Below are 26,938 nucleotides of genomic sequence, written 5' to 3'. Positions count from 1 at the left end.
TCTCTTGTTTAACACTTGGAAAAGGCTTTAAATAACAGCAGACAAGTGATTTGAATAATGCAGACTCTTCTTGCCTAGATAGTCCCTTAATCCGTTGCTTAGTCTTGGAAGAATACTGGAGGCTATCTTAAAATAATAAACTCGTTGTAACTACTTTCACGGCAGTAAACTTCCTTATTCTACAATATGATCACTACCAATACAATATGATCATACTTTCATATAATTCTTGTTTGCTTTGGCGTTTAAACTGCATTAATCACCACTCCTTATTGAATTGGAAAGCACATTAAAACCAGTGAAGAGCACCTCTTTGCAGTGATATTTGCTAGCGATAGGCTGTGGGTCTGAAATAGCAGTACATTGACACACGGAGAGAAGCACAATTTTTGACAGAAACCAGATACCATTTAGATTTTAAAACAGAGTGGCTAAATTTAAACAAGGTGCATCTGGGCAATGAATTAGGAGAGAACAAGATTTGGAGTTCAATTTTGTAGAAGCTCTTAAGTTAGTGAAGTAATTCCAATAACTCAATGATCTTCTTCATATTATAAGCAGCTAATTAAAATTGCTATACAACCTGACGTCCTGGTTGTGTGAAATTTCACAGTTTAAAATAGCTAAAGTAATGGAGCAGAATTCTTGAATTAGACCAATTGGTATCAAGGGATTTTAAAAGCACACCTGGGGCATGTTTGGAAAATTCTTAAATGTCAGGATTATGTGAGTTGGAGGAAAGCCAGGATGCTCTGTGGGGTAAAACTCCCACCCCTTTCTACTTTTTATGGTGTTCTGAGCTATTTGATTCTGAAATTAGCAATTATTTCCATGCAGACACCCTGGAACAGTGAGTGGTCCTTAAATTTTTTCATGCATCAGAATCCCCTGGAGGACTTGTTAAACCATAGACGGCTGGGCCCCACACCCGGAGTTTCTAATCAGTAGGTTTGGGGCAGGGCCTGACAATTTACATTTCTAATAAGTTACCAGGTGGTGCTGATGCTCGTGCTGACACTGCTCGCCCAGGGATCACACTTTGAGAACCACTGCTCTGGATAACGGCAACATCTCCACCAACATTTCTGAAACTTTAATGTGTATGTGAATCTCCTAGTTACCCTAGTAAAGTGCATACAAAGCATGTGGGGAACTTATGAAAATGCAGATTCTTGGTAAGTATGGTGTGCTAATTTTTCTGTTCTGTGGAGCACAATTTGAGAAGCAAGGATGTATAATATCTTCATGTGTGTCAATCTGTTTATTATGCTATTCTTTCCCTAATAGGAGAAACTCTGCAAGGCATGAAAACACTGGCTAGTGAAGCATTGTGAGGGAGAACGGGCCATGCTGAGGTTGGGGTTAAGCTCAGAGAGAGGGTATCACACTGAAGACAAACTAGACCAACTTTATAGTGTCTCCTTAGTTAAGCACTTAAAAAAATCTTAGTATGAAATATAAACCTTTTACTGTTTGATATTGCATGTATCTCACTTTGAAAATTAAGTGTTCAGAGCCCAGTAGATTTGGAATAAAATGCTCTAGACTTACATTTTCAGGATAGTGTTTCTTATTTTTAGAATTGCAAAAGGAAACTCAATGGTAGCTACGTAATTGTTCCTCCCTTTTACAATAAGCTTAGTTACCTGTTTTGGTCTTGTCTTTCAAACGTTACAGACATCAACTCTCCAGCAGTATATACCCAGCCTTGAACATATCTCGTGATCATAGATGAACCAGTGTCTAACTACCACAGAGGCTAATTAGGCATTTGAGACTATGCTTTCTCAAATCTTATACAAATTATAGTTAGTAAAGTGTAAAGAAAATAGCTCATACTTCAAACCCCAAGCTATTGTTTCCTGTAGTCTCTATGTTGACATATGTTCCGGATCTCCAGTGGAGAGTTTCTCTCCCTTTCTCTCTTTCTTTCTTTCCTTTCTTTCTTTCTAATGGAGTTTCACTCTTATCGCCCAGGCTGGAGTGAAATGGCACAATCTCGGCTCACTGCAACCTCTGCCTCCTGGGTTCAAGCGATTCTCCTGCCTCAGCCTCCCAAGTAGCTGGGATTACAGGCATGCACCACCATGCCCAGCTAATTTTGTATTTTTAGTAAAGGCGGGGTTTCACCATGTTGGCCAGGCTGTTCTCGAACTCCTGACCTCAAGTGATCCACCCACTTCGACCTCCCAAAGTGCGGGGATTACAGGCTTGAGCCACTGCACCCTGCCAGTGGAGCATTTCATGTGCATACATTAATGCCTGTATTACTTTATTCACACATTTTACATGTTATAATTATGTGTTTTTTAATATGACAAAATTCTAGGTTTAATTTTTGATTTGCATGTGTTTTGGAAATGGGGAGGATGTGCCTATTGATGGGAGAAGTGATGTCTTAACACCTGTGGAAACCGATTATGCTCTTGCATACTGATAATTTGCTTACTCCATGTTAGCCTGGTTATTGTACCTAGACATGGAGCCTAGTGGAAAGAAGACAGTGATTCCAGGAGAGGAATATAATTTAATAGTGAGGCATTGAAAAGATAACACGTGCAACAATCCCTAGTAAGATGTAAGACTTTTCCAATAAAAGTTGCCTATAATTCTAAGAAACTTTTGACATGGCTGTTCAAAGAAACTTTTTACATGGGTGTTCACATGACTAATTGAGGGTCAGTGTGCATTTCACTATAGCAGGAGGCTTCATTCAGTTAATATGTTATATTAAGTGCTACATTATTTAACAAAAACAATGCCATAAGATCTGAGATAATATGATTTCCTTTCCTTTTATAGAATCATATGTGATTAAGGTTTTGTTCTTGTAGAAATAACGATGTTTGGATTTTAAGTCCCTGTTTGGAAGGTGTAAGGAAAACTAGTGTTCATTATTTTTTTCTTAAAAAAGTGTCAAATGCAAGAATGTTCCCTCTCACTACTCATAGTCAAAACCTACTAGAAATCTTAGCTAATGCAACAAGGAAATAAAAGCTATAAATATTGAGAAGAAAGAAATCAAAATGTCTCTGTTTAAAGATGAGGTGATTATGCAGAAAATCCTAAAGAATCACGGAAAAATTCCTGGGACTAATAAGTTATTATAGCAAGTTTGCAGGATACAGTGTTAATACATGAAGGTCAATTGCTTTCTTATATATTAATCAGAATTTGAAATTAAAAACACAATACCATTTATATTAACATTTGAAAAATGAAATGCCAATTTCCTGTTGCATAGTTGGCATCCATGCCAGAGTCATCTTGATGAGACTTTTTCCAAGAGGGCTATTTGCCAGAATGAGGGGATCCAGCAATAAAGTCAGGGAGCAAGTGCTCAGAGCGTTCACAAAATAAGCCACAAAACACATAGCCCATGAAAGAGAAATGTGTTTTCAAAAACTCTCAAAATAAGTCCTGTGAAAGACCAAGTATTCTATTGCTTTCCATAATAGAGGCCATCCTGGCCAGTTTTGATCAAGAGAGTACTAAAATACCCGAGTTTATGTAGAGCTATTTGCTCCTCTTCCTCTGATTCTCCCTCACTCCAACTCTGACAAGCAGCCCAAAACAAAACTGGAGAGGAGGCGGAGGAGTGTAAAAGAGACCATATTGCTCTCCCTCTCCTAGTACAAGTTCATACATCTTGTGTCAAACCCAAGGATGGGACAGAAAGGAAGATTAAATTGGATGTGAGCTTAAGGTTTTAATTTATACAGTACCATTCACGAACAGAAAATGATTAGGAAACATCAAATGAGATTAATCTTATTTCATATATTTACAGGAAAGCTAAGGGAACCTCCTAAAATGCCATGTACGGGTAGAGAAGAGATCATGGTTGATAACAACAAACAAAAAGGTAAAGCTATTAATAATTTGTACTATGGAATTAAGCTAATTTGACAAACTGGTACCCAGTAAATTGTTACAACAAAACAAGGAAAATTACTGAATATGGTTGTGTGCCCTCTGTCAGCCTTCACTTTTTCACTCTTCTTTGAGAGCAGGTACACAGGTATTATTTCACTTGTGGGGAAAGTTATATTAAATAAATTTAGAGTACCTCATACTTTCATTGCTAATTTAAAAGCTAAGATGGAGAAGAAGTGGGAGGGGAAAGGTGAGAAATTGAATGTCTTGGTTGAAGGGATTACTAGGTACCTGTTGTTATCCACCTAATAGTAAATAAATAGATGTGTGATGAGGCCTGGTAAGGAAATATAACTATTTTTTAAAGCTGGGATAAAAAGGAAATGGAGGAGGTAAAGAGTTACTCATCACTCCAAAATCTAAATGAAAGTGCCGTGAGGGTACATTTAGGTTTAGATCCCCTCCTTTTTTCTGGTAAGGAATCATTTTTAACAGCTATAAATTAAGGCTCATAACTTACCTTAAATCAGAAGATTGCTACTAAATAGTGGCATATTTACAATAAATGTTTAGCAGGACCCTGTGCCAGGTCCTTGATCCATATGTAAATAATATAACATGGGCAATGAACCTTGTACATAATGGGGAAGATTAATTTGTGTATTCATAATTATAAAAATTATAATGGATGTCTGAACAAAATATATCAGAAGTTTAGAAAGAGTAATTGATTAGGGTGATTAATGGGTGGGAAAACAGGAAAATTACAAGAGAAGGTGAACTTCTTGAAAAAAATACACCACGGCTTATTTATTGTTATGTCTCCAATGTGTTGCCCAATGTCTATGAGTTAGAGGTAAATACATGTTGACATGTGAATGCATGATACAGTTAACAGTGTTGGATTCGGATTCTCCCCTACTAGGTTGTATGTCTTCTAGGATAGAACACCATCCTATATGACCAATATTATCTCCCTTACAGCACATAGCAAAATAGCCCATTTATAGCAAAAAGAGAGAAAGCAAACTCTTATTTATTGAGTGACTTTTAATAGCTGTGCAACAAATATGCTTTACCTGTGTATTGTGTGCTAGGCACAGTTCGTATAAATTATCTTTTCACATATATTATTTCATTTCTGTTTCTTGAGGTGGCTTAATGTAGCTTAATGACTTTGATTAAAAGCTTAAGTTGTTAAGGTACCACACTAGGTATAACAAGGAGCTGAAGATATAGTATATTCATAAAGGGATATAGAGATTCACTACAAAAGATGGAAAGTAGGACTGGTGGAACAGCCTCGTACTCCTCAGTCCTGTTATGCTAGGTCATTCCTAGGTCAGTCTGAAATTTTATAAGCCCACAGCTATACTTATTCATTCTCACATGCAAATGCAGTCCCACCTCAGTTGTTCAGTATTTTGGTCTGAGAGTAGGAAGCCCTCCACCCTGAGTCAGCCTGTAGCCAATGGTCTGAAAGCAAGTATCCCGAGGTTCTTATCTAGTCCTCTTTACTTATTGCCTAGAACATATCACCTAGTGGGCTACACAGAAAGCAGGTAAGGCCTGAACACCCATATTAATAGTACAGGCAAAGCTAACAGGCTCAGATATATTCATAATTGTAGTTGAAATTGAATATAATAATTGCATAGGTTTTACAGCTATACCAGTATGAGAGGGCTTCTGATCACACGACCCATTTTAAAAACAACTGAGTAGATCAGAAGTATTCTCACCACAAAACAACCACCACCACAAAACAAGGAAACTATGTGAGGTGATGGAAATGTTAATTAGCTTGATTGTGGTACTCATTTCACAATGTATATGTATATCAGTTCGCACACCTTAAATATATACACGTTTTATTTACCAGTTAAAGCTCAATAAAGCCTAGGTTTTAGTAACTCATTTAAATTTAAGAAAAATTGCACTGGGAAAGAAGAACAAAATTAAAAATTATTGCAAAACTAAAGATAACTACAAATCCAGTTCTGATTTATAATTGATTCTCATTTGAAAATCATCCATTACATTATCCCATTAAACATTTTTGAGTACTTGCTTTATATCAAGGACTGTCCAAGAGCTCAAAAATAAATACTTGTCTTCCAATAAAATAATTTTCATAATTTATAATATTAAGCACATATTATCTTCAGGAAACTTTACATATACTGTGCTCCTTTAAAACAACCCTTCACTGTGGGTTTTGTTATTCTCCTTTTACAGCTAATGTCACAGGTTCAGAGAAATTAAGTGGTCCAAGTTTACAGAGCTAATGAGTAGAATCCTCCTCTTTCTGAGTCTGAAGCATTGTCTATTTTACCATCCTGCCCTTGTGAGTTCAATTACGGATTCCAACATTGTTTTGGGATTCGAATAATAAAAGGAACTTGCAATGAATACTTACATGGAGTATCAATAGAATGACCATATATCAACCCCAAACCAGGGTATTTTGAGAGTGAAACGTGAGTATTAAAATACCATATAGCAGTAGGTGTAACCTGTGGTATATGATCACCTTTTGTATTAATGTTCTGGGCAGAAAATATATGACAAATTGGGAAGGGTTTAACTGAAAAGAATTCGAAAAAGGAATGAAGTATAGAGACATGAGTAGTGTAAGACATCTGATAAGGGGTGGCAAGACTCCATGGATTAACAGTAGCAGATTTGAGGGGGCAAAAAGCAGAGCAGTGCTGGCTAGAGCCTTGTGAGAGTTGGAGTCATGGCCAGAAAAGGACTGCCTTTCAGAACTGTAGAAGTGAAGGAAAGCAGACACTGCTGTGACTGGAGTGAGGGACAGAGGAAGTGGGCAGGAATACTTTCCTGCCTTCTCTATCTTCCCACTCTCCAATCTCCTGCTGGTTCAATTTTATTGGTCAAATCCAAGCAGAATCCTGAGGACACGTTATCTGATGTCCTCTGTAGAGGTCAACCCTCTGGGATCTAGAGTAGAGCAGAAAATGCACAGGAATGGATTTAAGGGAAGAAATGAGAATAACCAGTGTGGATGGCTTCTGATCATATGACTTATTTTAAACACAAGTGAGTGGATCTGAAGCATTTCCACCACAAAACAGCAACAACAAGAGCCAACTATGTGAGGATATATACACTTCATATTTGTCAATTAAACCTCAGTAAAACTGGGGAGGGGGGAGGTGAAAGAAACCATGAAAAGTCATTGAAAAGGAACAAAAAATTAAACAAATCTAAATATTTAAATGTCTTTGGTATTAGCCAATAATATGGGCTTCAGCATGAAGATATTCTCACTACTTGTCCTACTTTGAATTTTAGTCCCACTACTGACAAATGATCCTAAGATAAGCCCTGCATCCAAATTCTGAAAATCATTTGCGTTGTTTGTTTGGTTGCTTGTTTGGGGTAGATTTTCTTGGTAGCCTGTCTAGTACCCAAGTCTTTCTAGAAGGTGGCACCCTTAGTGATAAAAAACAAGAAACCTGAAGTTCTACAAACCTGGGTTTAAACCAGATTTCTCCCCCTAACTAACTGCAAAACTATAAAAATTGCCTTCTCTGAGTTCTTCTTTTCCCATAACATAAGGCCAATAAGACTGACCTCAATAAGAGAGAATATAAGAAATGCACCTAGTAGGTGCCTAACATGTAGCCAGAGGTCAAGAAATAGTAGTTATTGTTATTAATACTGTTAGTATCATTGTATAATATTTAGTTATTATAGAGAGAGTAGAATATTCATTTTTTCCAGTGCATTGTCCTTAGTCTGACTGCCTATTTGCCTGGATGTCTTTTAGTTGTACCATAACGTTGTCTTCTGCTTACTTGATGGAATGTCCAGTTTGCTTCTCTGCCTCCCTAGAATGACTCAGGTTATATGATGTACTCTAACTTCTATTACAATTCTTTTATTTTTCCTGATCCTCTCCCTTCTCCCACCTTCCACCCTCCTACAGGCTCCAGTGTCTGTTGTTCCCCTCTCTGTCTCCATGTGTCTTATCATTTAGCTCCCACTTATAGGTGAGAACATGCAGTATTTGGTTTTCTGTTCCTGTGTTAGTTTGCTAAGGATATTGGCCTCCACCTCCATCCACGTCCCTGCAAAGTATATGATCTCATTCTTTATGAAGAGAGATAGTTTGACTTGTTCTTTTCCTGTTTGGATGCCTTTTCTTTCCTTGACTTGTCTGATTGCTCTGGCTAGAACTTCCAGTTCTATGTTGAATAGGAATGCTGAGAGTCACCATACTTGACTTGTTTCAGTTCTCAAGGGAAATGGTTCAAGCTTTGCCCATTCAGTTCGATGTTGGCTGAGGGCGTGTTGTATATGAGTTGTATTATTTTGCAGTATATTCCTTCGATGCCTAGTCTGTTGAGGGTTTTATTATGAAGGGATGTTGGATTGCATCTAAAGCTTTTTCTGTGCCTATTGACATAATCACATGGTTTTTGTTTTTAATTCTGTTTATATAGTGAATCACATTTATAGATTTGCTTATATTGAACCAGCCTTGCTAGGAGAGAGATAGCATTAGGAGAAATACCTAATGTAGATGACGGGATGATGGGTGCAGCAAATCAACATGACATGTGTATACCTGTGTAACAAACCTGCATGTTCTGCACATGTATCCCAGAACTTAAGGTATTAAAAAAGTCAAACAATAACAGATGCTGGTGAGGTTGTGAAGAAAAAGGAATGCTTTTACACTGTTGGAAGAAACGTAAATTACTTCAGCCATTATGGAAGACAACCTGGAAACTCCTCAAAGACCTAGAGGTAGAAACACCATTCCACACAGAAATCCCATTATTGGGTATATACCCAAGGGAATATATATCATTCTATTATAAAGATACATGCACACGTGTTCATTGCAGAACTATTCACAATATCAAAGACATGGAATCAACTTAAATGCCCGTCAATGATAGACTGAGTAAAGAAAATGTGGTACATATATACCATGGAATACTACACAGCCATAAAAATGATTGAGATCATGTTTTTGCAGAGACATTGATGGAGCTAAAGACCATTATCCTTAGCAAACTAACACAGGAACAGAAAACCAAATACCGCATGGTCTCACTTATAACCGGGAGCTAACTGATGAGAGCACATGGACACATAGAAGGAAACAACACACACTGGGGTCTTTCAGAGGATGGAGAATGAGACCAGGGAGAGAATCAGGAAAAATTACTAATGGGTACTAAGCTTAATAGCTGGGTAATAAAATAATCTGTACAACAAACCCTCATGATACAAGTTTACCTGTATAATAAACCTGCACTTGTACCCCTGAACTTAAAAGTTTTTAAAAAGTGTGAAAAAAATGAACTCAGACTTGCAGACTGAGGAATGAAATTTTGCTTTTCAAATAGAGTGTGTTAGTCCACTCACGCTGACATAAAATACCATAAACTGGGTTGTTTAGGCAACAGAAATTTATGTTCTCACAGTTCTGCAGGCTAGAAGTCCAAGATCAAGGTGCCAGAACGGTCACTTTTGGGTGAGGGCTGTCTTCCTGGTTTGCATGGCCACATTCTCTCTCTGCTCTCACATGGCCTTTCCTAGGGGTGTGTTTGGAGGAAAAGAGAGAGAGTGCTCTGGTGTCTCTTCTTCTGTGGACACTAATTTTATCAGATTAGGACCCTATCCTTATGACCACACTTAACTTTCATTACTTCCATAAAGGCCCTATCTCCAAATACAATCACATGGGGCATTAGAACTTTGGGGGACCCCATTAAATTCATAACAGAAAGGAAAGGAATATTACAATTATTTAAACATAAATTTGGTTAGGATTGTATATGTGCAGTTAACAAATAGTATCTTAATTCTTTAAATATACCAAGTAAAATAATATAATAAATAGATTTCAATTCCATACTATGTCAACAAAACCCAGACATGAATTAGGTTTGTATCATAGTTTTATGTTATTTTTGTGTCATCCATAGCATACTTTTCTGACTTGATACTACTGTGTATGATCATTTTCATTTTCATCTTCTCCCTGTGCATGTTTTTCTGTAATTTAAAAATTTCTATTTAATGTTTAAACTTCAATAGCTTTTGGAGTACAAGTTTTTTTTTTGTTGTTGTTACATGGATGAATCGTATAGTGGTAAATTCTGAGATCTTAGTGCACCTGTGACCTGATTAGTGTACATTGTATCTAATGTGTAGTTTTTTATCACTAGCCCTACTCTCACCCTCCCCTTTCTGAATCTCTAAAGTCCATTGTGTCACATAGTTATGATTTTATTGTGTTGAAAGGTGATTTACTGTTTATATTGTAATGTACTGTATGCATCTAATAATTATTAATGCTTGCCGTATTTACAACTTCTTTCTTGTAATTCTAAATTCATTTACTAGTAACATGAGAGCTCTCTTCAACGATCAATTTTATTGAACTGCATTAGTTCAACTCTCAAAGCAGTTACTATATCATTTCAGTTATTCAGCAGGTGTTTTGCCTGTAACTTCCTTAGTACTTTTGCACAACCTAAGAAAGTGACAATTAACGTTGAAGACCAGATGCATTACAATAAGAATTTGCCGTTGTTTTCCTTGAATTCACAATGTAATCTGTCTCTTTTACTGAAATTTTTGAAATTGGTTGTTAAGCTTAATTTGGATAGGATCAATGCAAAATGATTTTTTAAGCATACTAGGTAGAAAAGCTTGCTTTTATTACAGTTTAAAAATATAAAGTAGGAATCTATATCATTAAAATTTATCTACAATTTAACTTATAGCTGACTTCTTTTTTCAGTTCTCTTTTTCTTTCTATTGTAGCAAGATATACAAGAGTGGCACAATTGATTGTCACAAATTGTAAATCAGACTTCAAAATGTGACTGCATTGTTTTTCTGTTTTCAGATTAAAATCCATTTTGTTTAAATTCATCTTTTTCAGAAATTTTTGCAGAATGCAAGGGATATACATTATTCTATGAAATACAATAAAACAAATTATTTGTGCCTGCATTTGTCATACCAATGATTAAAAGAAAAAAGGATTTCTGTTTTTTTTCTTATAGATTGGCACTTAGGAAGAAGAAAGATTATCAAAACCTAAATTTTTACTACAGTCTACTTTTCAGAAACATTGAGTAGGATTGAATACTTTTTAGATTTAAACACTGTAAAAAGATAATTGAAGAAAATTGGTATCTGTTTTCTGAGCTATAATTTGAAACTTATTCTAAACAGACCTTTGGGAAATTTATACACACATATACGATATGCCCATACGTGTGTATATATTTAAATATATATATAATATTTGTATATATACTAATAAAAAATATACACAAACATGATATATACTCTATTACAGATGTATATATAATATGTATATATGCGTATATATAACATGTATATATGCAGATATGATATGCAAATATGCATATATAATATGTACATATGCATGTATGCATATATAATATGTACATATGCATGTATGCATATATAATATGTACATATGCAAGTATGCATATATAATATGTACATATGCATATATGCATATATAATATGTACATATGCTATATAAGATGTATATATGCATACATGCATATATAATATGTATAGCTGTATATATATGATAGGTATATATACATATATGTGTATATTATATATGATAGGTATATATACATATATGTGTATATGTATATGTAATAGGTATATACACATATATGTGTATATGTAATAGGTATATATACATATATGTGTATGTCTATATATAATAGGTATATATACATATATGTGTATGTCTATATATAATAGGTATATATACATACGTGTATATATATAATAGGTATATATACATATGTGTATATGTATGTACATATAATATGTATACATGTATATATAATATGTATACATGTATATATAATATGTATACATGTGTATATAATATGTATGTACACTATGTATATATGTGTATAATATGCAGGTATATCTATATATGTATATGTGTAATATGTATGTGTATATATGTATGTATATGTATGTGTACATATGTGTGTGTATATGTATATATGTGTATATAATATGTATATATGTGTATTTGTATGTATATGTATGTATAATATGTATATATGTATATAACACGTATGTATGGTTTGTATATATGTATAAAATATGTATATATCATGTATGTGTATATATGTACATATCATATGTATATATGTATATGTATATATGTATATATGTATGTTTAATATGTATCTATGTGTACATATGTATATGTATATATAATATGTACATACGTATGTACATGTATATACCATATGTACATATGTATGTATATGTATGTATGATGTGTACATATGATATATGTATGTATGATATGTATAATATGTACATATGATATATGGATATATAGTATGTATATAATGCATATATGTATATTTAATATGCATATATAATATGTATATATGTATATATAATATACATGTAATATGTATATAATATGTATATATCTATATATCATATGCATATATAATATGTACATATGTACATATTATATATAATATGCATGTATAATATGTACATATTATAGTATGCATATATAATACATATTATAGTATGCATATATAATACTATATAAAATATGCATATATAATATATTATATATTCTATATATTATATACTATATTATATATATTATATATAATATGTTATATATTATATTATATATAATATATAATATATAATATAGTATATAATATATAATATAGTATAGAGTATATAATATATATAATATAGTATAGAGTATATAATATATAATATAGTATATAGTATATAATATATATAATATAGTATATAGTATATAATATATATAATATAATATATTATATATATTTTATACAATATTATATTATATACTATGTTATATTATATACTATATTATATAATATATAATATAAATAATATATAATATAGTATATAATATAGTATATAATACATAATATAGTATATAATATATATAATATATAATATAATATATATTATATACTATATTATGTATTATATACTATATTATATATTATATACTATATTATATATTATGTACTATATTATATATCATATACTATATTATATATTATATACTATATTATATAATATGTAATATATATAATATATAATATAGTATATAATATAGTATATAATACATAATATGGTATATAATATATAACATTATATAATATAATATATAATATATATTATATATATTATATATTATATTATATAATGTTATATATTATATATTATATATTATATTATATATTATTTATTATATATTGCATATTATATATTATATATTATATAATATATATTATATAATATATAATGTATAATATATAATATATAATGTATAATATATAATATATAATGTATAATATATATTATATCTTATATATATGTATATTATATATATAATATAATATAAAATATATATAATATATAATATATTATATATAATATAATATATATAATTTATATATATTATATAATATATATAATTAATATATATTATATAATATATATAATTAATATATATTATAATATAATATGCATATATAATATGCATATATAATATGTACATATAATATGTACATATTATATATAATATGATATATAATATGTACATTTTATTTATAATATGCATATATAATATGTACATTTTATATATATTATCCATATATAATATGCATATATAATATGTACATTTTATATATAATATGCATATATAATATGCATATATAATCTGTACATATTATATATAATATGCATATGTAATCTGTACATATTATATATAATATGCATATGTAATCTGTACATATTATGTATAATATGCATATGTAATCTGTACATATTATGTATAATATGCATATGTAATCTGTACATATTATGTAAATATGCATATGTAATATGTATCTATAACATGTGTACATGTATATATAATTTGTATATTTGTAATATGTATGTTATAAATATATGTATATATTATATGTAGATATGTATTTATATATGTGTATATTTATATGTATATATACATATATGTACATACCATATGTATAGATACATGTATGTATATGTGTACATGTGATATGTATAGATACACACATATATAAATAATGCACACATATGTACTCTAATTGTTACAAATGTAACCTTTATTTCATACTAGAGACAGAACAGGTATATATTAAAAAATTCATATATTATTTATTTATTTCTCTTAAGACGTTACAACCTTGCCTCTTAAACCCAATTCTAGCCAGAACTCTCTTTAATCACATGATTTCCTGTCCCAATCATTCTTGAGTTTTGGAGCCCTCTACTGTGTCCCCTGTTTGTTACCAGTGAATAAACTCAGAAAAGGGGCATGCAAATTTCTACAGATGTTTTAAAAACCAATCTTTGAAGTAATGTATATTACTTCCATTCATATTTCATTGTCCAGAATGCAACCATATGGCCCCACATAACTGCCAAGGGGCGACGAAACTGTCTCAAAAAAAGAGTATTAAGGAGAAGTAACATTCTCTGTCACATCTTTTCTACCATGAGGATGTGCACATTGTACTTAAGCAATTGACCATTTCCGAAAATTGGATTTTGTCATCTTCTTCAGGAACACAATAAGAACAACAGTGGTTTTTACTTAGATAACTTAAATATTTTCAAACATGTAGCTTGACTTTGTGCCAATTCTTTCATATATTTAACTCTGAATAAATTTTTGTCCTAAATGTCTCCGCTGAAAATAGGAAAAGAATCCTCTACCATTGTCAATCCATGGCCCTTCTTTACAATCATAATACTATTTTTCCTTTGATAAAGTTTGTATTGTGGATTTGTAGGGCATTTTTATTATTTTGGACCAACGTTATTCTTTGTAGAAGTGATTGATGTTTTTAATGATTTTGTATTTATCTAATAGCAAACACATAACTATCTTGGTCGTACATAGGCTCTGTGCTCAAAGAATGAGAAAGTAACAGGAGATAAAGGAAAGTAGTATTTATACTTTGTCTTCACAAAATTCATGTGAATTAAGAGGTGCAGAAATGGTTAATCGTCATGTCGCAATCAATGGCTCTCATGTGGAATTCACACACCTGGCTTAGGGCTAAGCTTCTGTATGAATAATATAACTGTTTTACTCTTTTATGCCTTCACTCTGTGTTTTAAATCAGGTCAAAACATTGCTTTTTTTTGTAAATAAACTGTTAATGAAACACAGTCATGTCCATTGTTTACGTACTGTCTATGGCTGATTTCAAGCTACAATGGCCGAGTTAAATGACTGTGACAGACTATATGTGGTCCACACCACTGAAAATATTTACTATCTGGCTTATTCCAGAAAATATTCACCCATCTGCTCTAAAGCCTTGGAGTATGAACACTAAGTTTCCTTTTATCATTGGAAAATTTTCATTTTTATCCTACAGAAAATATTTAAAAAAAAACCTAAAAGCTATTAAAACCCAACTATAACTGCTAGTTAACAATGTTGGTTGTTTAGTTTCGAGAAGGTTCAAACTCAAATTGAACTAAGGAACACTAGGAAACCTTATTGAACCGCATTTCTTTGTAATGATTTCCTGCCTGTGGAGGCCAGTTTTGAATGCATTTTATAGTCAATTATACATATATGAATACAAAGACAAATTGTCTATAAAATTACAGTTTTAGTCTTGGATATTTCCTATCCCAGTAATATAAGTTTTAATCTTTGTAAATAGTTTGAAAAATAAGAATAAGGAGACTTTAAAATGTAACATAAATCTTACTGCTCCCTGGGACATGTTTTAAATAGTAGGCCTAAAAGAAGTTTCTAAAATATGGCTTTGTATTCTCAAACCTATTTGTACATTAAATAATGTATAACCAAAGTCTAATTTAAATTGAACATACTGAGGTGCTAAATTCTATTTTAATCATAAATATTAAAATTACATATAATATTTCCTTAGTTTAAAAATACCTAAAACAAAATAGTATATAAACCATTCTTATCAAATTACTTCATATATATAAATATATAAATATATCTATAAATATATATATCTATAAATGTATCTATAAATATATCTATAGATATATATAAATATATCTATAAATATATATATAAATATATATATATATAATTAACCCCATTAAGGGCAAATGTGTTCTAGTTTATAGGACCATTAAAAAGCAGGAAATTATATTTCATTTTTTATGGCCTTCCCACCAGATAAAAATTAATATAAAACAATCATATTTGATGATTGATAACTTCAGACTCACAATTGATAGTTTTTATTTTACTCAGAGACACATGTATGTAAAAATTTAAGTGAAAGCATATTTTTTGGAATCTGCCTTGTGAATATGGCATGCTTTATAGTACTTTTTTTTTCCTTTTATATGTGTTCTCATAGATTTCAGTTACTTTAAAGTATGGCCATGCAGTCTAAAAGGGACTCCATCAGAAGCCAGCATTGGCCAAATATACAAAATTGATTTGTTCTCAAGTTTCCTTTCTCCTGCCTTATAATCACCTTCCAATTCGAAGATTCCCCTAGCTGTTTATTAGCTTTATGCAGCAGCCCTTTCTTTCTAGGCAGAATTCCTAAGGGTCCTTTACTAGACCAACCATAACACACTCAATGGGGGTGAGGGGTGCTTGTTAAAGTATACAGATATCTTGGCCACGTTTCACTCTTACTGTATAAAATTCTAAGAGAGATGGACCTGGAAACCAGTCCAAACCTAATCATAAAAAGTAGGCTAATAGCAGACAATGCCATAATGTGTTATTTCTCTGAATTAGAAGTTGTCATTTTAAGAGTATTCTTCATGAGATAAATACTTAAACTGGAGGAGAGTGTTAAATTGGAAGGATTTCAGGTAAATTGGGAAGATTATATAGATATGTGGGAATTTGGTGGGGTTTTTTTTCTATTTACGGTGTAAAGTGAATAACTAGAGGTTCCATGCTTGCTTCAACTGTACATGTGATTTTCACTTTATTAGCTTACATTCTACTACCCTGGATTGCCTAACAGAAATTATTCCTAGGAAATTTTCTAATGTGGTAGGCAATAGCATATTTGCCTATGCAATATTTTGAGGATTTTACACATTTACCATTTTTAGGAAAACCATGAATGTTAGGTGAGAACGTTTCTTACCAACTCAGAGTATAATATTTAAATGACTGGTTTAAATATTTTGTGTATTTGGAAACGTGGGTCCTGTGACTTTGGATATGGTTATTTTCTTGTATAATTCATTTTTCAACAAATATAGAGTATCTCTTAAAGTAAAATATTCAACTACTTTTTTTTTTTTAGTATTTAAGCCATCCAGAACTATAATATAAAATGTATTTATTGTTGATAACAGTAAAGCCATTTTTGTTTGAAATTGCTTTTAAAGAAAGCTACTTATGGCTGGACACGGTGGCTCACGCCTGTAATCCCACCACTTTGGAAGGCTGAAGTGGGTGGATCACCTGAGGTCAGGAGTTCAAGACCAGCCTGGCCAACATAGTGAAACCCTGTCCCTATTTAAAATACAAAAATGAGCCTGGCGTGGTGGAGCACACCTATAGTCTCAGCTGCTCGGGAGGCTGAAGCGTGAGAATCACCTCAACCCAGGAGGCAGAAGTTGCAGTGAGCCAAGATCGTGCCATTTCATTCCATCCTGGGTGACAGAGTGAGACTCTGTCTCAAAAAAAAGAAAAAAAAATCAAACAAAAACAAAACAAAACAAAAAACTACTTACACACTAGTGAGTACCTATTAAATCTAAAACCTAGACCAGTGTATTTTATGAGGACAAGAAACAAAACAAAACAGGAGCTTTATTATTTTGCTTATAAGAGAGAAATCCTTAAAGCAAATGAGAAAAAAATACATTAGAATTGTAATGTTCCCTTTGCAACCTAGAAAGAAAGTGAATGGAAAAATAAAAATAGAGGAAAGAATCATTAACATACCGAACATCTACTGTGCTATGAACTTGATACTTACATAGTCTCATGTAGCCTTCATAGAATGCAGGGATCAGCACATTGTTAATTTTATAGTTTGCAAATGATAAAACAGAGGCACAAATATTAAATAACTTGCCATGGTCTGTATCCCATATAGGATGGCTAAAAAGTGATGTATAGTCAAGATGAGCAAATGCTAAAGCAAAATCAAACCAACTGCTGAGGAAGTCTGGCATTTCACTAATGGTAATGAAACATGATTTCCTTTGATTAACTCGAGAGTGGATGAAGTTGACTGACAATATAAAAGTAGATTAAAATAATGTAGGGGTTTTGACTTTGAAATTAAGTAATTGTGATATTTTCTCTTTAAAACCAAACTAAAGAAACAACTTAAGAATTTAATGATAAAATTGGTTCTTTTATTTTCTTTATTACCTTACCTAATTATCATTATATCTTTTCTTTTAGAGCATAATGGAAAGTTATGAGTTTAATAAAACATATCTTTGAGTCATGATTTCTGTAGAAAAATATTTCAAAGACTATTAATATGCTTTATTTTGAATTTTTCTTTATGTTGCTGGAGTGCTCCATTGCTTCATTCCTCAGGGAGTCCTATGCTATATCTGGAAAGCAAGAGAAAGAGTCATTGTTCACATTTTTAAATCTAAAAGAGCTTTCAAAAGCCAATCTTTAGAAATAAGAGTTATGAAAACCGGGTCTTCATTTCAAAACTCAGGCGTTTGAGAGAGAAAAGTAGAAACCCCAGCTAGGTTGAAGATGAAATCTAAATCAGTGAGGGCCTATGATTAATTTTCAAAATTGAACTCTGGGACAGAACAAGGTTTCATTTCTAAGGTCAAGATTGGTTTGCTTTGGAAGATCAGAATTGGTAACAGAGGATATGCAGACAAGGAATGTCACTTTATTTACAAATAAGTTTCCATATGTCCCAAGTGAATGCATAAGTGCTATAAAGGCTAGTCAATAGCCAAGGATCAAGGATTGAGATAAGGATGACCTTTAAACCAGAAATCATGGCAGGGATCAGGAAAATCCAAAGCAGGCACTGCAGTGCAAGAGCAGCTGTAGCTTCTATGAAAACCAACATTCAGAGACCAAATGGCAGAAGACTTTTCAGTGGAGGCCACCAGGGTACAGCTCTCAGATTGTTCACCTCTGGTGCCATAATAAGTTTTTGTCTCAGATATGACCTTTGGAAATGGAAAGGAGAAACCTTGGAATCTGTGTATTTACTCAGCAGAGATCACATTAACCCAAAAGAGGGCTCATATAAGATTGGAGATGACTAAAATACCAAAGCAGAAATCCAGACTAGTTAGAGATCAAGATGAGTACTGGATTCAAAACTGCTGTAGTAGAGAACCTTCAAAAAGGATGCAATTTCTTTATGAAATTTTCTTGGTGTTCTTATTGGAGCACGGATCAGTGTGAAAAACTACTGGGAGAACAACTTCAGCGATTGAGAAGTACTCATACAACTTGTTGTTTTTCAACACTCCTGTAATTTTTTAAATCAGTGAACTCCAGTTTTAGGTGGTACATAGTTGCCACCATCTCCTCCTTGGTATTTATTGCTCCTCAGATTTTGTAGCAATTGTCTGCCTTTATTAATTCTGAAAACTGCATTTGGCACACAAGTTCAATACAAACTTCATGAGTGAGAAAGCACAGCTTTTTACAAATATAACTTAGTGGGAATATTCTATTTTTTCCTCACAGGTTAAAATAATCAATGAGCAAAGTGAATTATCTAAAGAAATGTAATTTAAAATTTACATTTCTATGATATCTGAGTCAGTGTAACTATAAATCTTAAAACTGCTACATTTGAAATCATTCTTAACCATATTTTAGTCAAGAATACTTTTGCCTTATTTTTTAGGAATAGTGAAACATGAATAATGTGATATTCTAGTGCTATATACACCATCCATGGTGTGTGTTAATATCCAGTGTTAAACAGTAAATTAACTACATTATAAGAGTATTTAAAACTTCATAATAGATCACATATGCAATGGGTTTATTGAACAATTTTAGACTAAAATTTTAGAATGCATACATACATACATACACACATGTAGGAGAAAGACTGGAAGAGATTATAGCGAATCATTCTCAATTATATTTCTGGTGGGAAAATTGAGAGATTTTGTATTGAGAGAAATTGTATCTTTATTGTGAAAGATTTTTTGTTCTCCCCCAAACATGGCATAGAAAGTTATCTTCTGACTCTTCAAATAATTGGATATTTATGATGTTTTATTGCTTTTTTCTAATCTTTCAAAGATTTCAAAGTATCTTTAGAAGGAAAATTTACATATCAATACAGTTCATAAAATTACTACAACAAGTGAAAATATTAGGTCATAGAATAATATATATTATGCAATATTATGTTTATGTGGACCAAAAATATGGAAAAGTAAACATTTTTAAACAAATGTGACAAAACTGTTTTTTAAAGTTAAAGGAATGAGGCCATCTGGTGACTTTTACTTCTGGGAAGGAGGCTTAGAGAATTATTCCTAAGCATCCTGCTGAGGACAATTAAAAGAGTCAGATGAACTTTAAAAAATAAATCCCTAAGTGCATAAAATAGCTAACAAGAGAGTAAGAAATTACCAGATAAAGATGTGTGTGGGGTGGGTTTGCAAAATCAAGAGAGGTAAGCTTGGTACCAAAGTTATTATTTTCCCTCAGGGTATTGCTTCTTGTAAAGAAACAGCTGTGAAACAAAAGTTGTAGTTTTTAACTGGCCTTATAGGAATATTGGGAGGCACATAGGAAAATAAGACCAAAAAAAGTGAGAACCAGTAAAACAGACCACAAAAATCTGTTGAGATTATCAGGGTATAAAATAAGTACATTTTCTTCAATGCATTAAAATAAAGGTTTAAAATATATTCAGTGAATAACCATAAAGATGACATAGTACATATAAAAACAAAAAATAGAATTACTGGAACACAAAATAATTAAAATCAATAATTCAGTATATGTGGTTAACATCAGATTAACATAGCTGAAGAGAGAATTGGTGAACTGGAAGCATGTCAGTGAATATTTATAAAGAGTACTGGTGAACCAGAAAATACATCAGAAAAATACCTAGAATAAAGCACAGTTAAACAAAAATACAAAACAGGATAAAAGTCATGGAGGATACAATACAAAGATAGAACATATAGTTAATATCAGTTAGAAGAAGTGAGAATTAAAGGAGAAAAGGCAATATTTGAATAGATAATGGCTGAAGAATATTGTAAAACTGATAAAAGATACTATTCCACAGATTCAAGTAACCCAACAAATCTCCATCAACGTTAGGTACATATGTGCATGTATACACACACACTCTCACTGGACACATAGTGAAACAGAATAAAAAGCAGAAGGAAACATTAAAAATAATCTAATAAAAATAAGATAGATAAACCTCAAAAGGGAGACAGACTGTAAGTCACAGTGGAATTCAGGAGAAAATAGAATGACTTGTTCAATTTGCCTTTCAAAATAAAATAAATCCTATATGTATATCCAGGTAAAACATTTTCCCAGAACTAATGTAAAGGAAACGAAACAAAATGAAGCTAAAACTGGAATTTGCCATCAGCAGACTCAGTCTAAAAGAAATTCTAAAGGTTCAGATTCACCAATAAATAAATCTCTGAAAGGCAGAGATTTATGAAGAGCTGAAAATTAAAGAAACAAAGTAATGTCTGATCTTAAAATGAACAGAATCAAAATATAATAAAAATAGTCAAAAGATAGCAATATCAAAGTATTCTAGGGTTTTTAAATTGGGAGGGGGTAAAGGTATCAATTCACATATTTTTGAAACAAGGGAGAAATAAACACAGCATTTAGAATAGTGGTTACCTCTGGCAACAAGGCAGGATAAATATCTAAAATAGAGTCTACAAATAAAAGCAGTATATTACGTTCCAGTTTGTAAGTTGGATGGTGGGTTCTTGGGTACTTTATTATCATATTTCTTAATTTTTACACAAAGTACATACATGTTATGTATTAATAATACATACTTTAAAATAAATTAACTATAATATTTAACAAGAAATGGAAATCATATTTAATGAAACAGTAGTCTAGAGCAGTGGTCTGCAACCTTTTTGTCACCAGGGACAAGTTTTGAGGAAGACAATTTTTCTACAGACATTCTTGGTGGGGGAGGAGGGTGGTTTCGGGATGAAACTGTTTCACCTCAGATGATCAGGCATTAGTTCGATTCTCATAAGGAGGGTGCAACCTAAATCCCTTACATGCACAGTTTACAATAGGGTTTGCTGTCCTATGATAATCTAATGCCTCCACTGATCTGACAGGAGGTAGAACTCAAGTGGTAATGCTCACCCATCTGTTGCTCACCTCCTGCTGTGTTGCCTGGTTCCTAACAGGCCATGGTTCACAGCCCAGGGATTGGGGACCCCTGGTCTAGAATACAAAAAGGAATGAATAAAAACTTGATAATTTTGTCAGCAAAATATTTAAATTATTTGTATAATACTTATAACTCAAGCTAAATCATGATATTTTGATGATTTTATGTGTTATCAATCCAATTTGATCACTTATTATTTCTCCAATAGACTGTACTCTCCTTTGCCTAATAATACATACATCACAATATTTTTTCCTATTCCTTTCAGGACATAACACAATTCTGGGAAGGCATTACATATTATACTTGCATGACTCAGGATTTATTCACCAATGCTACACATTTAGCACCAGGAAAAATCAGCAAACATATGTCCTACTTTAGATTGAATGGATGCATTAGTATAAATATGTTCTCATTTGTGAGTAGGCATGCTCATGCCAAACAGGTATACTTTCATCATTTTCATAAATAAATGTGGACTCGTGGATTTTATGTCATGATTACGTCAAATGTTTAAGAGCCATTATAAGCAAACTAATTATTTTTATTCTTATTGTTTATTATTATTTTAGGGCTTGCTTTTTCATACTTTTCATTTCATCTCATATTTGAAAATATATAAAATATAGGTTTAAAAATGTTTTATATCATATGTATACACACACAAACAAAAGTGATAAACTAGAAAGAGTCTGTGTGTGTGTATATGTGTAGTTCTTAGTTGATATTAATGGTTTATTGTAATATGTAGCAATTAATGGCTGTGAATTTTAAAATAATGAGTTTCTAGGTTTTCAGGAAAGCCTTTGTACACCACTTTGTTCATCATCCTGGGAAGAATCATAATCCTCTTACAGGTCATTTTAACATTTCATTGGAGTATGCCAATATTTTATTTGTTGGCAATCACTCATCTTGGAATGTCAGTAATTTTGAATACAGCAGAACATGCAAAGACATTTGAAAGCCTTACTATTTTAAAGAAATTCATTCACTAATAGGTTTTTAAACACATACCATTTGGATAATAACACTATAGGTTCTCAGGTAGAGTCTATTTACTCAGAGTTTAACTTTCATTTTAACACATTTGGATGTTTTGTTTTACAGAGGGGAGAACATTAAAAGTCAAAAGTTATAATGTTTGAGAGAATAAAGGAGTAATTAGGGATGCAGTCATAGCACTTCTCTGAAATAGCTGATGGTCTAATAGAGGGAAATCAGAGTGAGAAAGTCTTTAATAAGTAGAATCCACTTTGAAATGATGAATATTTTAAATTTTAAAAAGACCAAAAAGGGGGCCAGGCTCACTGGCTCATGCCTGTAATTCCAGCACATTGAGAGGCCAAGGCAAGAGTATCACTTGAGGACAGGAGTTCTAGACCAGCCTAGGCAACATAGAAAGACTCTGTCTCTACAATTATTTATAATTAACCAGGGGTGGTGTTGTGCACCTGTATTCCCAAGCTACTTGGGAGGCTGAGGCAGGAGGATCATTTGAGCCAAGGAGTGTGAGGCTTCAGTGAGCTGTGATCATGCCACTGCACTCCAATGTGGGTTACAAAGCAAGATCCTGCCTCTAAAAAAGATTTAAGAAATAACAAACATAAATATCAAAAAGGGAATTAACTGAATCCAAAAATTGAAAACATAGATAAATGAACTTATAATCTATATCAGACTGATTATATGTATAACTTAGATCCTTGGCCTGGTTAAACCAGTACCTCAAAAGTTTCCTCCTTACACCAGCTGATTAACCTCTCCAAGTCCCACGCTATTCAACTGTGGCCCAGAGGATTTTTATTTTTCTGGTTCCGGATTGCCTGGTGATTGCCCACTCTTTGGTTGCACTCTGAAAGGTTTCTTCCTGTTTGTCCAGTTGACTGCAGACCAGCTCTGGCCTAGGAAAACCAGCAAACTTCTCCACTATCTAGTGGGCTGAACGACACCTTCACCCACAAGGTCTGAAACCCAACCTTGGGGCAGGGCCTCCTTCCAAATTTGTCCTTCTACGGAAATGATAATAAATTAATTTTTGTATCCAGGACTATGATTAAATACTTACTAGATAAATTTTAAGAACAAAAATCTACAAATAAGCATTGAATATTACATAGTAGTTTTGTTGTTAGTAGTGGTATTGGTTTAGTGATTCTAAACTCTATTGTGTATATTATAGAGTAATATAATATCCTGTGTGTATCGGTTCTAATGATTAATATACTGATGTTGTTTTGAAGCAAGTTTCTCACTGTGAGAAAAGGGAGATACAACTATGAAGAGTGAGGAACAGCTTGTGGGGGTGCATTTGAATTAGAGATATCAGTGTGAGTTCTTTATGTATGCATCCTATCTGTGCCCACTCAAAGGACCTACAAACAATGGCACTCATTGCAATGAGCACCCCTGTATCAGTCTAAGCCCAATCAGGATACAGAAATCACAATGTTGGTTAAACAGGGGAAGATTAATAAAAATTATTAGATTGTGATAATAGGTGACTATAAGATGTGCAGAAACTCTATATGGTACTCCAGCTGAAGGACAGTATGGAAAGAAGGACAAATTTGGAAGGAGGCCCTGCCCCAGGGTTGGGTTTCAGATCTCGTGGGTGAAAGTGTCGTTCAGCCCACTAGATAGTGGAGAAGTTTGCTGGTTTTCCCAGACCAGAGCTTGTCTGCAGTCAACTGGACAAGCAGGAAGCAAACTTTCAGAGTGCAACCAAAGAGTGGGCAATCACCAGGCAATCTGCAACGAGAAAATAAAAATCCTCTGGGCCACAGTTGAATAGCATGGGACTTGCAGAGGTTAATCAGGTGGTGTAAGGAGGAAACTTTTGAGGTACTAGTTTAACCAGGCCAAGGATCTCAGTTTGCCAAGGATCAGGCATGCTACGTGCATCGCTGGGGCAGAGTGCCACTGTGTCCTTCCACTGGCACAACTGTTCTACCATACTGCAAGAGGATCCTTTCCTGCTGTAATATGTGCCTCCTGTGCCTCCTAAGAAAGCCTAACATCATTCCCACTTTATAGGAGAAACAAAGGAATTTTGTGTATTACCACAGAGTATATATTGAAGTGTGCAGCTGGAACTGAGAGGTAATAAATTGATTACTGTCACAACACTTAATACTCAAATATTTTTTTCTAAATACCATTACTCACTGAAAAGAACCAGTCCTCCTTGGATAAACAACTGATTCTAGGTCTGAATATGGAAAGAGCAGAGTCTGGAACTTTTTTGCCGAAGACTTGCTCAAATATCAATGAGGGCGTGTCAGCTTAAAAGGGCCCCCACTGGCCACATGTGGTTCAATTGAACATCAAAAAGAATAGTGAGACTGGGCACAGTGGCTCACACCTGTAATCCAAGCACTTTGGGAGACTGAGGCGGGTGGATCACTTGAGGTCAGGAGTTTGAGACCAGCCAAGCCAACATGGCAAAACCTTGTCTCTACTAAAAATACAAAAAAAAAAAAAAAAAATAGCCAGGCATGGTGGCACTCACTTGTAATCCCAGCTACTTGGGAGGCTGAGGCATGAGAATCACTTGAACCCAGTAGGTGTAGGTTGCAGTGAGCCAAGATCCTGCCACTGCACTCCAGCCTGGGCAACATAGCAAGACTCTATCTCAAAAAAAAAAAAAGAAAAGAAAAAAAAGGATAGTGACAGTAGAAGCTATAACATAGACAATTGAGAAAAAATCATTGAATCCATGTTAGTATTCAAAAAGAGGAAACAGTAAGGAGTGAAAGTTCTTGTTATGAAAGAATGACAGCCAAAATAGATGGAATAAAGCAATTAGAAAGTGACAATTATAAATGAGCAAAGTGATAACTGATTTAGGCAGGGATCATTAATGGATGCTAAAGCCATTGGGTTTTGGGGCACCTGAACTTTCCACTGTGTTAAACTATCACCCTGGGCCAAGATGGCTGATTAGAAGCAGCTGCAGTCCGTGGCTCTCACAAAGAAGGAAAATGGCTAGTGAATTCTACACCTTCAATTGAGGTATCCAGGTTCTCGCATTGGGACTGACTAGGTGGTTGGCACAACCTATGGAGAGCGAGGAAAAGCAGGGTGGGGCAGCGGCCTGCCCAAGAGTGGCAAGGAGCGTGGGGAGCCCTCACCCCCAGCCAAGGGAGGTGGTGAGTGATTTTGCGACCCTGCCCAGGAAACCATGATTTTCCCACAGATCTTTGCAACCCATGGGTCAGGCGATCCTCTCATGAGCCCATGCCACCAGGGCCTTGGATCCAAAGCACAGAGCTGTGTGGACTCTTGGCAGCCGCTCAGGCAGGCACGGAGACACAGGAGTTTTTGCGTAATCCTGCCCAGGAATTCCAGTGAGGCAGGAGAGCTGACCATGCCCCTAGGAAGGGGGCAGAAGCCAGGGAGCCAAGCAGCGTCGCTCAGCAGGCTCTGCTCACCCAGCACCTCAGAGGTTAAGACCCACTGGCTTGGAATTCCAGCTGGCCAGTGGCAGCAGGCTGAAGACTGCCCCAGAGATGACTGAGTTCCCTTTGGGGAGGGGCAGCCACCATCACTGCAGCTCCAGTGGGCCGTTTTCCCCTGCCAGCTCCTGGAGGTCTGGGTGGTCTGGACCTGGAGGA

Source organism: Homo sapiens, chromosome X (assembly GCF_000001405.40).
Source record: "Homo sapiens chromosome X, GRCh38.p14 Primary Assembly".
Taxonomy (NCBI): Eukaryota; Metazoa; Chordata; class Mammalia; order Primates; family Hominidae; genus Homo; species Homo sapiens.
The sequence above is the reverse complement of the archived record's forward strand: the minus strand, read 5'-3'. Positions refer to the sequence as shown.